General features: G+C 53.3%; 1 protein-coding gene and 1 long non-coding RNA gene across 2 annotated transcripts in view, besides 2 other annotated features; both read right to left on the bottom strand.

The window, feature by feature from the left end:
- Positions 1 to 12,367, bottom strand: part of FOXK1 (forkhead box K1) — an 89,148-nt gene that overhangs the window by 38,018 nt on the left and 38,763 nt on the right. The gene's annotated exons all lie outside the window — the stretch shown is intronic.
- On the bottom strand, positions 3,404 to 10,940 carry LOC124901581 (uncharacterized). Its single transcript, XR_007060199.1, has 2 exons — positions 6,562 to 10,940; positions 3,404 to 5,768 (listed from the first exon to the last, which is right to left on the bottom strand). It is a non-coding gene; the product is annotated as an uncharacterized LOC124901581 (long non-coding RNA).
- Positions 7,819 to 8,158: an enhancer, noted in NCBI's record as "active region_25560". NCBI's record gives its function as "activates an Ori minimal core promoter by ATAC-STARR-seq in GM12878 lymphoblastoid cells {active_cell/tissue: GM12878}" and the evidence as "EXISTENCE:reporter gene assay evidence [ECO:0000049][PMID:35858748]".
- Positions 8,746 to 9,332: an enhancer, noted in NCBI's record as "H3K27ac-H3K4me1 hESC enhancer chr7:4763724-4764310 (GRCh37/hg19 assembly coordinates)". NCBI's record gives its function as "activates a minimal SCP1, AML or CMV promoter by ChIP-STARR-seq in primed H9 embryonic stem cells {active_cell/tissue: H9 hESC(primed)}" and the evidence as "EXISTENCE:reporter gene assay evidence [ECO:0000049][PMID:30033119]".

The following is a 12,367-nucleotide window of genomic DNA, read 5'->3' as shown; positions in this document are numbered from 1 at the left end:
GACCATAAAGGCACACTGCATAACGGAGCAACAAGCAACGTAATAGAAAAAGTCTGGTGCCTCCAGGTCATAGCTGACATTAAGATGGTCATGTGTGGCTGGGTAGGGTGGCTTACATCTATAATCCCAGCACTCTGGGAGGATGAGGTTGGAGGATTGCTTGAGCCCAGGAGTTTGAAACCAGCCTGGGCAACACAGCAAGAACCCAGCTTGAAATAAAAAAATAATAAAATTAAAAAAAAAAAGACCGTCACGTATAAAAGAAACAAACTTGGCCCTCGTTATTTTTGACCTTTGTTGCAAAATCAAAACTACGTCCTAACTGAAAGAATCCAGGAAGAGGGTGAAAAGCCCCAGAACAGAAGCTGTGCAGGAGCCCAGAGCTGTGCAGGAGAGAGCCAGGGCTCTCAGGAGAAAGTTCCCAGGAGAACTGAAGGACAGGAATGTCGTCTTACCCAACTGCTGAGCGAAGTTCTAGAGTTGGGTCAGCGTCCAGAGATCAATTCACAATAGGTACAGAGAACGCTGGACGAGTAAGAAGATAAACTCTGCGCTATGGGAAAGAGGCACACGTGTAAGGGGCGTGCAGCGCAGACCCGCGGCTCCGGATGAGGAGGGCAGCAGTAGAGCCAGACCCTGTCTTCTCTAACGGAAAGCCATGTGTGTCTACAACAGGGCGAAAACTCAGTGAATAGCAGCTCAGACTGTTAATCAGGATGCTTTAAAAGCCACTGCCTCTGCGAAGTGAGACCTGAGGACTTCTGTTTGAAGCCTTGCGTTACTATGGCCATTTAAAACTATGCATATTGGCTGGCGCGGTGGCTCATGCCCGTAATCCCACGGTGGTTCACGCCTGTAATCCCAGCGCTTTGGAAGGCTGAGGTGGGACGATCGCTTGACCCTAGGAGTTCGAGATCAGCCTGGGCAACACAGTGAGATCCTGTCTCTAAAAATTGTTTAAGAAATTAGCCAGGTGTGGTGGCGCACACCTGTAGTCCCAACTACTTGGGAGGCTGAGGAGGGAAGATGGCTTGAGCCTGGGCAGCGGAGGCCGCAGTGGGCTATGATGGTGACTGAATGAATGAATGAATGAATGGAGAACTGTCGGCACTGGGATCTTTGGTCAGTCTCTTCATACACTGGCCTGGTTTCCCTCATCAGCCAAACTGGGGTAATGATGGTGCATAATCAGAGTTCTTGTGGACTGAACAAATGATTCCAAGCAACGTCATCAGACGCACACAGGGCGTGTCACACATAAGGAGCCCTCGCTAAATACTGAGGCGTGGGGGAATATGGAAACGTTTACAACAGCTTGATAAATGTAGCAGAAGCCCAAGTGGAACAGTGCAGCGGCTCACGGCAAGGGAGGTGAAGTCAGACCTGCCTGGCTGGAGCCTGGGCTGCTCAGATGCCCTGGGGGCACCTGGGCAAGTCACTGAATCTGAGCCCCGCCCTGGCCAGCCCGGCCTCCGTGTGGCCTCAGGTCTCCATGCCGTGAACATCAGTCCTGACCGGACGGCTGGCACGTAGCAAGCGGTTACTGAAAATGTGCTTCAGTTATTCTTGTTATTAGACAAGGACTGGAAGGACAAAGGAAAACAGCCCAGGATAAGGATGGTGTTATAAGCAGGCCTCTCTGTTTTCTTTTTTTTTTTTTTTTTTTGAGGCAGAGTTTCGCTTTGTTGCCCAGGCTGGAGTGCAGTGGTGCAATCTCAGCTCACTGCAACCTCCGCCTCCAGGTCCAAGCGATTCTCCTGCCTCAGCCTCCCGAGTAGCTGGGATTACAGGTGCCCACCACCATGCCCGGCTAATTTTTGTATTTTTAGTAGAGATGGGGTTTCACCATGTTGGCCAGGCTGGTCTTGAACTCCTGACCTCAGGTGATGCACCCGCTTTGGCCTCCCAAAGTGCTGGGATTACAGGCGTGAGCCACTGTGCCCGGCCGCCTCTCTCTTTTCAAAAGGTTCTTTAAATGTTGCTACCATGTCCTTGAAGAAATGAAAGACTCAAGAATGGGAGGCAAAAGCTGTTACATACTCCAGGTACTTTTCGAATTTTGCAGGCTGCAACGTGTCTTTAGGATACCCGATAAAGTACTAAACCTGGCTCGCCTGGTTCTGTTAAGTGGTTTGGCTCTGAGGCAGGGGGAAAACGTCCCGCAGGGCCCAGGCCCCCAAGAGTCTCAAGGGAAGGCCGGGGAACAGCAGAGCTTGACTTGCAGGGATGCTCACCCACCACCTCGGAGGCCCCTCACCACCTCCTACCAGCAAGTTCTCTGTGCAGGGACAGGAAGTCAGGTGACGGTCCCAGGGTGGGCCACATCAGATAAGGCCTGAAACTGGAATGCCGGAGGCCCTGCAGTGTTTGCTTAAACTCCTCCGAGAAATAAGACTGTTCAGCAAATGGTTTTGATTTTTTGTAGAGACAGGGTCTTGTTATGTTGCCCAGGCTAGTCTCCAACTCCTGGCCTCAAGGGATCCTCCTGCCTCGGCCTCCCAAAGTGCTGGGATTGCAGGAGTGAGCCACCGCGCCCATCCTCAGGAAATGGTTTTGAAAGAAACGTTAACATATAAAATCCCCAAATCAGAGAATTCTGACAACCTTAAATTTTTTAACCTAAAATACTGTCTTTCTATTAAAAATGGAAGGCATTTATTTATGACAACCCCAAAACGAACACAGGTGGCTGCAGCCATAGGCGCCTCTCTATTGCAGAGACCACGTCTTCGCCAGCAGCTAAGAGCAGTGCATGGCAGTGAAGGGACACAGGTTACAGACGAACCCGCAGCAAGGACGTCTCAAGTGTGGCGGCTTTGGAAAATAAGGCACAAACTTGAAGGCGGGGCGGGGGCTGGGTCGGCAAGGTCCCTGACAGCAACACAAACGTCCATCCCCTCCCCGACAGACACGGAACCAGCACTGGTGCCTGCAAACCACGCCCTCTCCACTGGGCCTGCGTCCCTCCTCCAGGAACCAGAGCTGCAACCGTGACTCCACTTTTGGGTCCATGCCACAACCCTGTTCTCCTGAACCCCACGGCTGACAGCGGTGGCAAGCTGGGTAGCAGGGTGGTCAGAGACACAGCTCTGTGCCTGCCCATCACTCACCCTGGCCGAGTGTACTCGGCTCTGGGCCCTCCGTTCTCGCAGTGACAACAATGTGGGGGTGTGCGTGGTGTGTGTGAATTAAAACCCGGTAGCAGTTTTAGTGTTTATAAGTTCTTATGCGTTCATAGGGCCTAATTTGTTTAAATAGGGAGAATGCATCTATTTTTGTAATCAGGCAAATAAGCATGTCCTATTTGGAAAAAGAAAAGACAGCGAGATACTCAAGCCCATATGCTGAGTCGGTGACACGCGGTGAAAAACGCAGACAACGGTCTGACCGAAGCCGGGCTTTCTTTTTCCTTTTCTTTTTTTTATTTAAATTGTTTCGACAGAGTCTCGCTCTGTCGCCCAGGCTGGAGGGCAGTGGCTGGATCTCAGCTCACTGCAAACTCCACCTTCCGGGTTCAAGCGATTCTCCTGCCTCAGCCTCCCGAGTAGCTAGGATTACTGGTACCCACTACCAGGCCTGGCTAGTTTTTGTATTGTTAGTAGAGATGGGGTTTCACCATGTTGGCCAGGCTGGTCTCAAACTCCTGAGCTCAGGTGATCCACCTGCCTTGGCCTCCCAAAGTGCTGGGATTACAGGCGTGAGCTGCTGCACCCGGCCAGGGTTTCTTTTTGAAGCTGAAGTCTCGGTCTCTGTCTCAGGAAGACCCTGGAGGAAGGTGGCGAGAGACCTCACTGAATTAGGATAGAGCCCCACAGAGGCGGCCAAGCACAGCCATGGCCACCGACCCTCCCTGGGGCTCAGGTGTGTGTCCTGCCGGGTGGGGCTCCCGGGGCCCGGCAGTCCTGAGCACCCCATGGCAGCACAGGCGAGGACGGCACCCTCGGTGTTCACAGCTCCTTCAAAATCCCCCCACCTTCCCTTCGCGGAAGGAACGCTCATCTGGTAGGTGACTGCTTCCCAATCCCAACATGGGGACCCGTGGTGACTCCCACAGCTTTACTCTGCGGAGGCTAAGGGACCCCCAGATGACTGACACGGCCAAACGGCGGTGGCCCCAGCGATCTGCATTTCTAGCAGACGTTCCACTCCCCAGACAACCCTGCCTGGCCCAGGAGAAAGCCACTGCCTGCTGCTCCCGAAGAGGATCCTGAGGATCGGAGAGTAGGCTCCGAAATCACCTCCGCTCCCCACCATGCTGTGTGGCTTAAACAGACGTAAAAAGACCGCGTAAAGATGGACTAGGCTCTTTAAGACAGCGGACACAGACACAGTGTTCTGCAACCCTCTGGGGCTGACCCGGGCAGAGCTTGCTTGCGACGAGCAATTCAGGTTAACTTTCATCTTCTGTCTCTACGCTGATTTAAGAAAATGCTTCTGGGAAGTCAAAATGGCTTAATCTGCAGATCTCAAAATGCTGTCCACAGTAATTCCACGTAGTCATTATTCACTGGCCACCTGACTGATACCAAGTACCAGACGCTGGTTTATCTGCATAGACTTTGCGTCCTCTAAGACTGTTCCCCAGGGTCCCCTTCTCTATCTAGGCAGCCTTCCTTGAATTCCCTGGCTCACTCTCATGCCCGACTTAAGAAAAATACGTTTTCTTTTCTTTCTTTTTTTTTTTTTTTTTTTTTCAAAAAGAGACGTGGTCTCACTATGTTGCCCAGGCTGGCCTCAAATTCCTGGCCTCAAGTGATCCTCCTGCCACAGCCTCCCAAAGTGCCAGAAGTATAGGCTTGCACCACCACGCCTAGCTGGTAGCAGGTTCCTGGAGGAGGAGTCCCATCTGCTGCTGGTCTGTTCTCCCCACAGCACGTGGCTCCCACAGGGCAGAGGGTCAGTACACACACAGCACGTGCACTTTAGTGCACACGAGTAAGAGTTCATAACCATGCAGTTCTCTCAGGAATGTGGAGTCTCCCAGGAGGTGAATGCATAGAAACAAGTTTACATGTGAAGTGGAATGAGCTTAATGCTCAACAGCAGCACAGCCGCAGCCGGACAACCCCGAGGACTGAGGGTTAAAATCTGGGTGCTCTTTGGAAATTCCAAAAACCACAGAGAAATGATTAGACTTTTCTGATCCTGGATTAACCTTGAAAGGACAGCAACAATACCGCCTTTGCTGTGTTAGGATCGATGATCCAAAGAATCAGAGAACGTTTGGCAGGCAAGAAAGAGTCGTGTCACATCTCCACTGGAGGCGGGGGGCTGCCAACAGAACTGCTCCAAACAGAAGCTTGTGAGCCGGTCCCGGCTGCCATCCAGGGCCAGGGCAGTCCCCTGGTTGCTGTCCCGGGGGCCCAGCTGCCTGAGGTCAGTGCCACTAAACATGGCTGGGGAAGGGCCCCTGGAAATGTCTGTGCAGTGATTGGTATCTGTCTATACCAATGCCAGTCCAATCGGCAAACACACGCCACCGACTGTCTCCATTTTACCGGCCGCTTTTCCTCCCCTCCCGAAGGACGGGTGTCCAAGCACCAATGTGAAGACCACGGACAGTCCCAGGAGAGGTTCAGGCATGGCCACAGGAGAGGTTCTCTGGCAAACAAGTTATAATCTCGTTTACTCTGGTAAAGTGTTTCCTCCGTGCGCGGGTTCCCACCCAGGAGAGAGCACTCTGATGTGACATCGAGGAGTGACGGGAAGGTGGGACAGGGCCCAGTCTGCCGCAGGGACGGACAGCAGGCCGCCCTCAGCACTGAAGCCTAAAAGGAGAAACACCGCACTTTAGAACAACCTGCAAAATCAGGCCGGGCGCCGTGGCTAAGCCTGTAATCCCAGTACTTTGGGAGGCCAAGGCAGGAGGATCACCTGAGGTCAGGAGTTCAAGACCAGCCTGGCCAACATGGTGAAACGGGTCTCTACTAAATATATAAAAACTAGCTGGGCGTGGTGCTGCATGCCTGTAATCCCAGCTACTCCAGAGGCTGAGGCACAAGAATCACTTGAACCCGGGAGGCGAAGGTTGCAATGAGCTGAGATCACACCATCACACTCCAGGCTGGGTAACAGAGTAAGACGCCCTTGCCAAAAAAATAAACAAATAAAATTTAAAAATAAAGTAAAAGAATAACCTGCAAACCTTAACATGAAATTCTATAATAATAATAGGCTGGGAGCAGTGGCTCACGCCTGTAATCCCAACACTTTGAGAGGCCAAAGTGGGAGGATCACTTGAGGCCAGGAGTGCAAAACCAGCCTGGGCAACAGAGTGAGACCCCGTCTCTACAAAAAATAAAAATAAAAAAATTAGCCTGGCATAGTGGTGCATGCCTGTAGTCCCAGCTACTCCAGGAGACTGAGGCAGGAGGATCACTTGAGCCCAGGAATTCAAGGCTGCAATGGGTTATGATTGTGCCACTGCACTCCAACCTGGGTGACAGAGCAAGACCCCGTTTGTAAAAAAAAAAAATTAAAATTAGTAGTTGACAACTAATATCTGCTATTATTATATATACCAGGTACTGTGTGCTAAGCACATTAAGTAAATTAACTCACCAAAATATCCCACTTCTCTGAACACTCTGGTGATGTATGAATACACAGAGTTTGAGGGAAAGCGCCTGTGTTGTCATTTCCCCCTATGAATAGAGTGGGCGAAAAGAGAAGTCTTGAGGGCAAAGCAGCTGCCGCCCTGCAGAGGGGAGAAGAAACAAGAGCGACATGGCAGGAGTGAGCTCCCGCTGTCTGTCTTCTGGACTCAGGCACCTCCAAGGCCCAGGCACGGTTTTTTTTTTTTTGAGACGGAGTCTCGCTCTGTCGTCCAGGCTGGAGTGCAATGTCACAATCTTGGCTCACTGCAACCTCCACCTCTCGGGTTCAAGCGATTCTCCTGCCTCAGCCTCCTGAGTAGCTGAGACTACAGGCACGTGCCACTGTGCCCGGCTAACTTTTTTGTATTTTTAGTAGAGACAGGGTTTCATCATGTTGGTCAGGCTGGTCTCGAACTCCTGACTTCAAATGATCTGCCAGGCCCAGTTTTGCTAAAGCTGATGGAGGAAACGCTTTCAGAAGCAGAGGGCAGAATCCAGGAGGGGCCTGCCAGGAAGGTGATCGCCGTCCTGCCGCGGCCAGCTCCAACAGACGGTCTGCAGCACAGGTCTCGTGCTTCCTAAGTAAAAGCATTCGTAGGCCAAAAACAAGAACGTTCTAGTGAAACACACGGAAGCCTCCTGTCCCTCACTGCATAGACATTCCTATCCAAATTCAAAGTTATTTATTTTAAGACTTTCCCTTTAGATACCATCCTTGAAGACAGCGGCAAAGCTCAAGAGAGCCCCCAAATGCAAACCCCAATCACACCCCAACAGAGAGCAAAAGGTCTTCGCTGCTTAAAAAAAAAAAAAGTTCTGTTTGTTGAAAGAAAACAGGGACAGTGTCTAAATGGCTTGACAAATCACTTCCTTGCTTCAGCCACTGCAGCCGAGCTCAGCTCACCTTCCTAATATGGGGAATCCCACCAGGCCCAAACCCACACCCCTGCCAGCCAGAAGCCCCAGCCCACGCCCAGCACATGTGCCCCTGGCTCCCTACCCCTCTGAGTGCAGGCACCTTGCCTGGATCCCAGCCTGTTGCCCTGAAGAACTGAAACCTACAGGGCAGCCCAGCCCGGGCAGCCACGGCAGTTGACGGAGATTGAGAAATCACATGTAAGTGGCATCGCCACCCACTGGGCCAGTCGGCAGCCTTGGTGTGTCCACTGCCAAGCAGTAGAGCTCCCGTCCTCCCAACACAGCCACACGCCCGGAGCATGGGCGAGGCCCGGAGAGTCCGTTCACGCAGACTGGCCGGAGGGGCCCGGCCGCACAAAGGCAGTGAGGTCCTTGCTTCTCACTCCTGCGGAGCGAAAGAGAAAGCGGACATCTGGCCCCGGGCCTCTGCCTGTGGGCAGGAGGCCGTGTCCCCCTGGCTGGCTGGGCTCCTGAGACAACAACTAAGCCCGGTTTCACTTTGGGCAACAGCAGTGAAAAAAAATCCGATGACATCACCCCCACCGCTTTCTGAACAAAAGCAGCGCCCCCGGTCAGACCAAGGGACTGGGCTCTGTGCTCGCTGCATTTCCCGGAGCCGATGGCGTCGGTGCTCCAAGGGGCGTTCCGGCCACCTGGGCCAAAGCCTGGGCACTGCTATTCTCAAGAGGCAGCTCCGATCTACCCCCGCGACCCCAACTCGCAGTGAAATGAAACAAATTCAGAGAGAGAACGCGCGCCTGCAGGAACTGCGAGAGAGCACAGCACAGTGGGGTTTAGGGCAACGTGGGCGCGGAGGACGCTGTGGGTGGCGGGTGCACCGCGCTTGGATGGCCTCGGGGGAGCTCCTGCTGGGGACAGAGGGCAGCAGGCAGGGTTAGGAGGGCGGGGCTCCCCCCAAACCCACTTCTCCTCTCCCTGTCCCCACTATTTTTCTGTGTGGCCACGCACTCAGCTAAAAGGTGACTTTCCTGCTCCCCTTGCAGCTGGGGGCCAGCAATGCAAAGTGGGTGTGGCCTACGGCACAGCCCTCGTGGGAGTCTCAGAAGAGGTGGGCAGAGAGCTACCCAGAGGATCACCGCCCACCATCCCTCCCTCCTCTCTCCCCTCTGGAATGGAAACATAATGACCGGGGCACTGGCAACCATGCTGAACACTGAGGCCACCTTGAGCATTGAGACAGAAGCTTCACAGACCAGTGGAAGCAGCCTGGCTGTCTGCTGAGCCCAGAGCCCTGGCCTGGACCACAGTCTAGGATGGGGGCCGTGGAGCCACGCAGCGCACACACACACAACGAGGCACAGACCCCTGATTGACACATTTGGACAAAATAGAAATGCTTGGCTTCAGAGAGAAATTAAGTCAGAGCTCCCCAACCAAAGAAAAAGCGAACTCTGGGCCAGGCACAGTGGCTCACGCCTGTAATCCCAGCACTTTGGGAGGCCAAGGCACGCAGATCACTTGAGAACAGGAGTTCGAGACCACCCTGGCCAACATGGTGAAATCCGTCTCTACAAAAAAATACATAAATTAGCCGGGCGTGGTGGTGGGTGCCTGTAATCCCAGCTACCCGAGAGGTTGAGGCAGGAGAATCTCCGGAACCCGGGAGACGGAGGTTGCAGTGAGCCGAGATTGCACCACTGCACTCCAGCCTGGGTGACAGAGGAAGACTCCATCTCAAAAAGAAAACAACAACAACAACCACCCCCAAAACACAAACTCTGGATGTGCACAGAATCCCAGCTGGGAGCACGGAGGTCTTGGGCACTGCCTGGTGCGCAGCCATTCAGAGCACCAAGAGCTGCTATGGCAAGGTCATTACCATGTTCACTCACACAACTTAATAATCCAAAGTACCAAAAGCCCTCGAAAAAGTAGGCAGCAGAAGATGCAGGGTCATTTAAGGTTTTAAAAATCGAATGGGCCGAGCACAGAGGTGCACGCCTGTAATCCCAGCACTTTGGGAAGCTGAGGTAGGAGGATCGCTTGAGCCTAGGAGGTCGAGACCGGCCTGGGCAACATAGTGAGATCCCCATCTTTACCAAAAATACAAAGAAGTCAGCCAGGTGTGGTGGTGCACACTGGTAGTCTCAGCTATTTGGGAGGCTGAGGCGGGAGGATTGCTTGAGCCCAGGAGGTTGAGGCTGCAGTGAGCTACGATTGCACCACTGCACTCCAGCCTGGGAGACAGAGCAAGACCCTATCTCAAATAAACAAACATTGGTAGTAACTGTTTTGAGAGAAAGGAAAAGCTTCCTGCACTGCTGCAACTCTCCACGCTCGGTCCTGTGCCGTGGCGATTGTACCACGGCGAGGAGGGACCTGTGTTTGTAGAGGCACCGTGGGCTGACGGGATGGACAGGCCCTAGAGGCAACAGGAAGGCTCGGGGCTGCATTTGCTATTTTTAGTCTGCAACATTATTCAGCTGAGCAAGATTATTCCAAGATGGTCCCTGAAGGAAGAAGGCAAATTTAGTCAGCTGGGAACGTCCAAAAAAAAAACCCCACAGAAAACAAAAACAGCTTTGAGAAGACAAATTAAGCCAATGTTTTCAGGCAGTATTTACCAACAAGCTCTTTTGCTATATTTGTCACTCTGGAGTCGGGCAGCAGCCACATCCTTCAGGGTCCAGGCCCACTTGCTCGGTGCTGAGCCGGGGGACGTGCAACGTGCAAGCCGCCATGGGTGTCCACCCACCCTATGGGTGACCGCGAGCAGGCGCCCTGGACCCAGTGCTTTGAAGCTGGCTCCGCTCACAGCCACGGCGTTGGAGTGAGCACGGTGCCGTTACCATCATCGTCAACAGGCTTGGGAAGACGGGTTTTTGTTCGGGATCACAAGCTGATACAGGTTGTGTGGTGATCTGAACCCAGCGCTGCCTCTTGTCTGGATCTCAGATCTGAGGGTGCCTGCGTCGGCCACCTGCTCCTGGGGGTTCTTCCTACAATAACTGCCCTGCCTCTGACCACACCCTCTTCCATCAACAGCTCTGCCCACAGGCACCTCACCTGGATGCCAATTCTGCGGGAACCGGAGCCCAAACGAGAGAGGGATGGAGAAGGTGCACAGACACAGCAGAGGGCTGTGGAGGCCTGTGGCCAAGGCAGCAGCAAAGGAACGGAATCCCCCAAAGCCAAAAGCCATGCTGGGCGGTTGACTCTCCCCAGATGTGCACCCGAGCATCTGAGGTGGGTCTCCTACGACTTCCTCGTTTCACCCAAGGAAAATCCCGTTTCTCAGAAAACACTAGAGACAGCACATGAACGTGCATGAGTGTGCGGCTGACGTGCATGTGTGCCCGTTGTATACGAGTGTGCCCGTGCTGCACGCAGGTGTGCGGTTAACAGGCACGAGTGTACCCGTCCCAGCACGCTGGCACTGGGCTGAGGCCACTGGTGCTGAGCAGCCCACTGCCCTGCCGTGTATGTCCGGCACCGCTGCCACTTGGCCACGGGACCTCCTCTGGCCAGGATCTCAGGGAAGGCCTCTTCACAGGAGAATGGGTTTTAAGCCTAGGAAATACGAACGACCAAAGTACATAAGAGGCAACAATGGGAATCTGGGTAAAACCTTAGAGAGTTTCTAGAACAACAGATTTTGGAATCTGAGGCAGGGACGCTCGGGAAAGGCAGAGAATGCAAAGCCAGCTTGCACGGTGCTGGCATTTATTTCCAGGCGGCCGTGGACGTGAAATCCAGCATCTGCTGAGACACAGACACCTCCTGCCCCGCCATCTTCTGAATCAGGGCAGGATGTGACCAAGAGCCCAAGGCCCCACCAAAGTCCCCTCCTCTAGCACGTCCCACCCACAGGCATGAGGCTGCTGGGATGGGTGGAGGGTATGGGATGCAGCGGGGTCACCAGTCTCACCCCGGCTGCCTCCTTTGGGAGAAAGTAACACGGCTGTGCGCGTCCCCGTTACTCCTGCACGAGAAAGGGATGCATTTACATTTGAGAAATCTAATTTGGAAAAACAAAACTCAAATATTAAAATGAAAACAGGCCGGGCGTGGTGGCTCACGCCTGTAATCTCAGCACTTTGGGAGGCCGAGGCAGGAGGATCACATGAGGTCAGGAGTTCAAGACCAGCCTGGTCAATACGGTGAAACTCTGTCTATACTAAAAATGCAAGAATTAGCTGGGCGTGGTGTCTCACGCCTGTAATCCCAGCTGCTTGGGAGGCTGACGCAGAAGAACTGCTTGAATCCAGGAGGGAGAGGTTGCAGTGAGCCAAGATCGCACCACTGCACTCCAGCCTGGGTGACACAACAAGACTCTGACTCAAAAAAAAAAAAAAAAAAAGAAAAAAAAGAAAAAGAAAAGAGAAAAGTCCTTCTTAGGCTGCCATCTGTGAGCTCTTATCATTGGAGAGCTGGAATTATTCTTATTCTCAAAGTTTCAGAAAAAGTTCTTTCTGAAGTTAACTGACAGCCGACGCCTGGAGATTAGAATTCAAGGCATTTTACTGAGCCACTGTCACCTGCAGGAAACAGGCTGGGGGTCGCAGGGAATGGTCGCTTCTCACCAAGGTCATCAGAAGGTTGCACCATTATGGGCTGCAGCGACACAGGGCTAGGCCGGCAGCTCAAGGCTGGGGAGCTCCGGGGGGTTTCCAAGGCCCCTGTGCACTGCCACACACAGGCAAAGCCCCCACGATGTCCAGGATCCAAGCTCCAGTCTGAGCTGCTGCATTGAGCCAAGCGTGCAGACTGAACGGAGAACCTCCTCCAGGGCCCTGATGCACAGAGGGAGGCTGCTGACTCGGGAAAGCACTTACGGCAACAGTGACAGAGTAAAGCAAGAAAGGGACGGGGCACGGAGGGCCCGTGCAGAG

This window comes from Homo sapiens, chromosome 7, assembly GCF_000001405.40.
Source record: "Homo sapiens chromosome 7, GRCh38.p14 Primary Assembly".
Taxonomy (NCBI): domain Eukaryota; kingdom Metazoa; phylum Chordata; class Mammalia; order Primates; family Hominidae; genus Homo; species Homo sapiens.
This window is presented reverse-complemented; position numbering and strand designations above follow the sequence as displayed.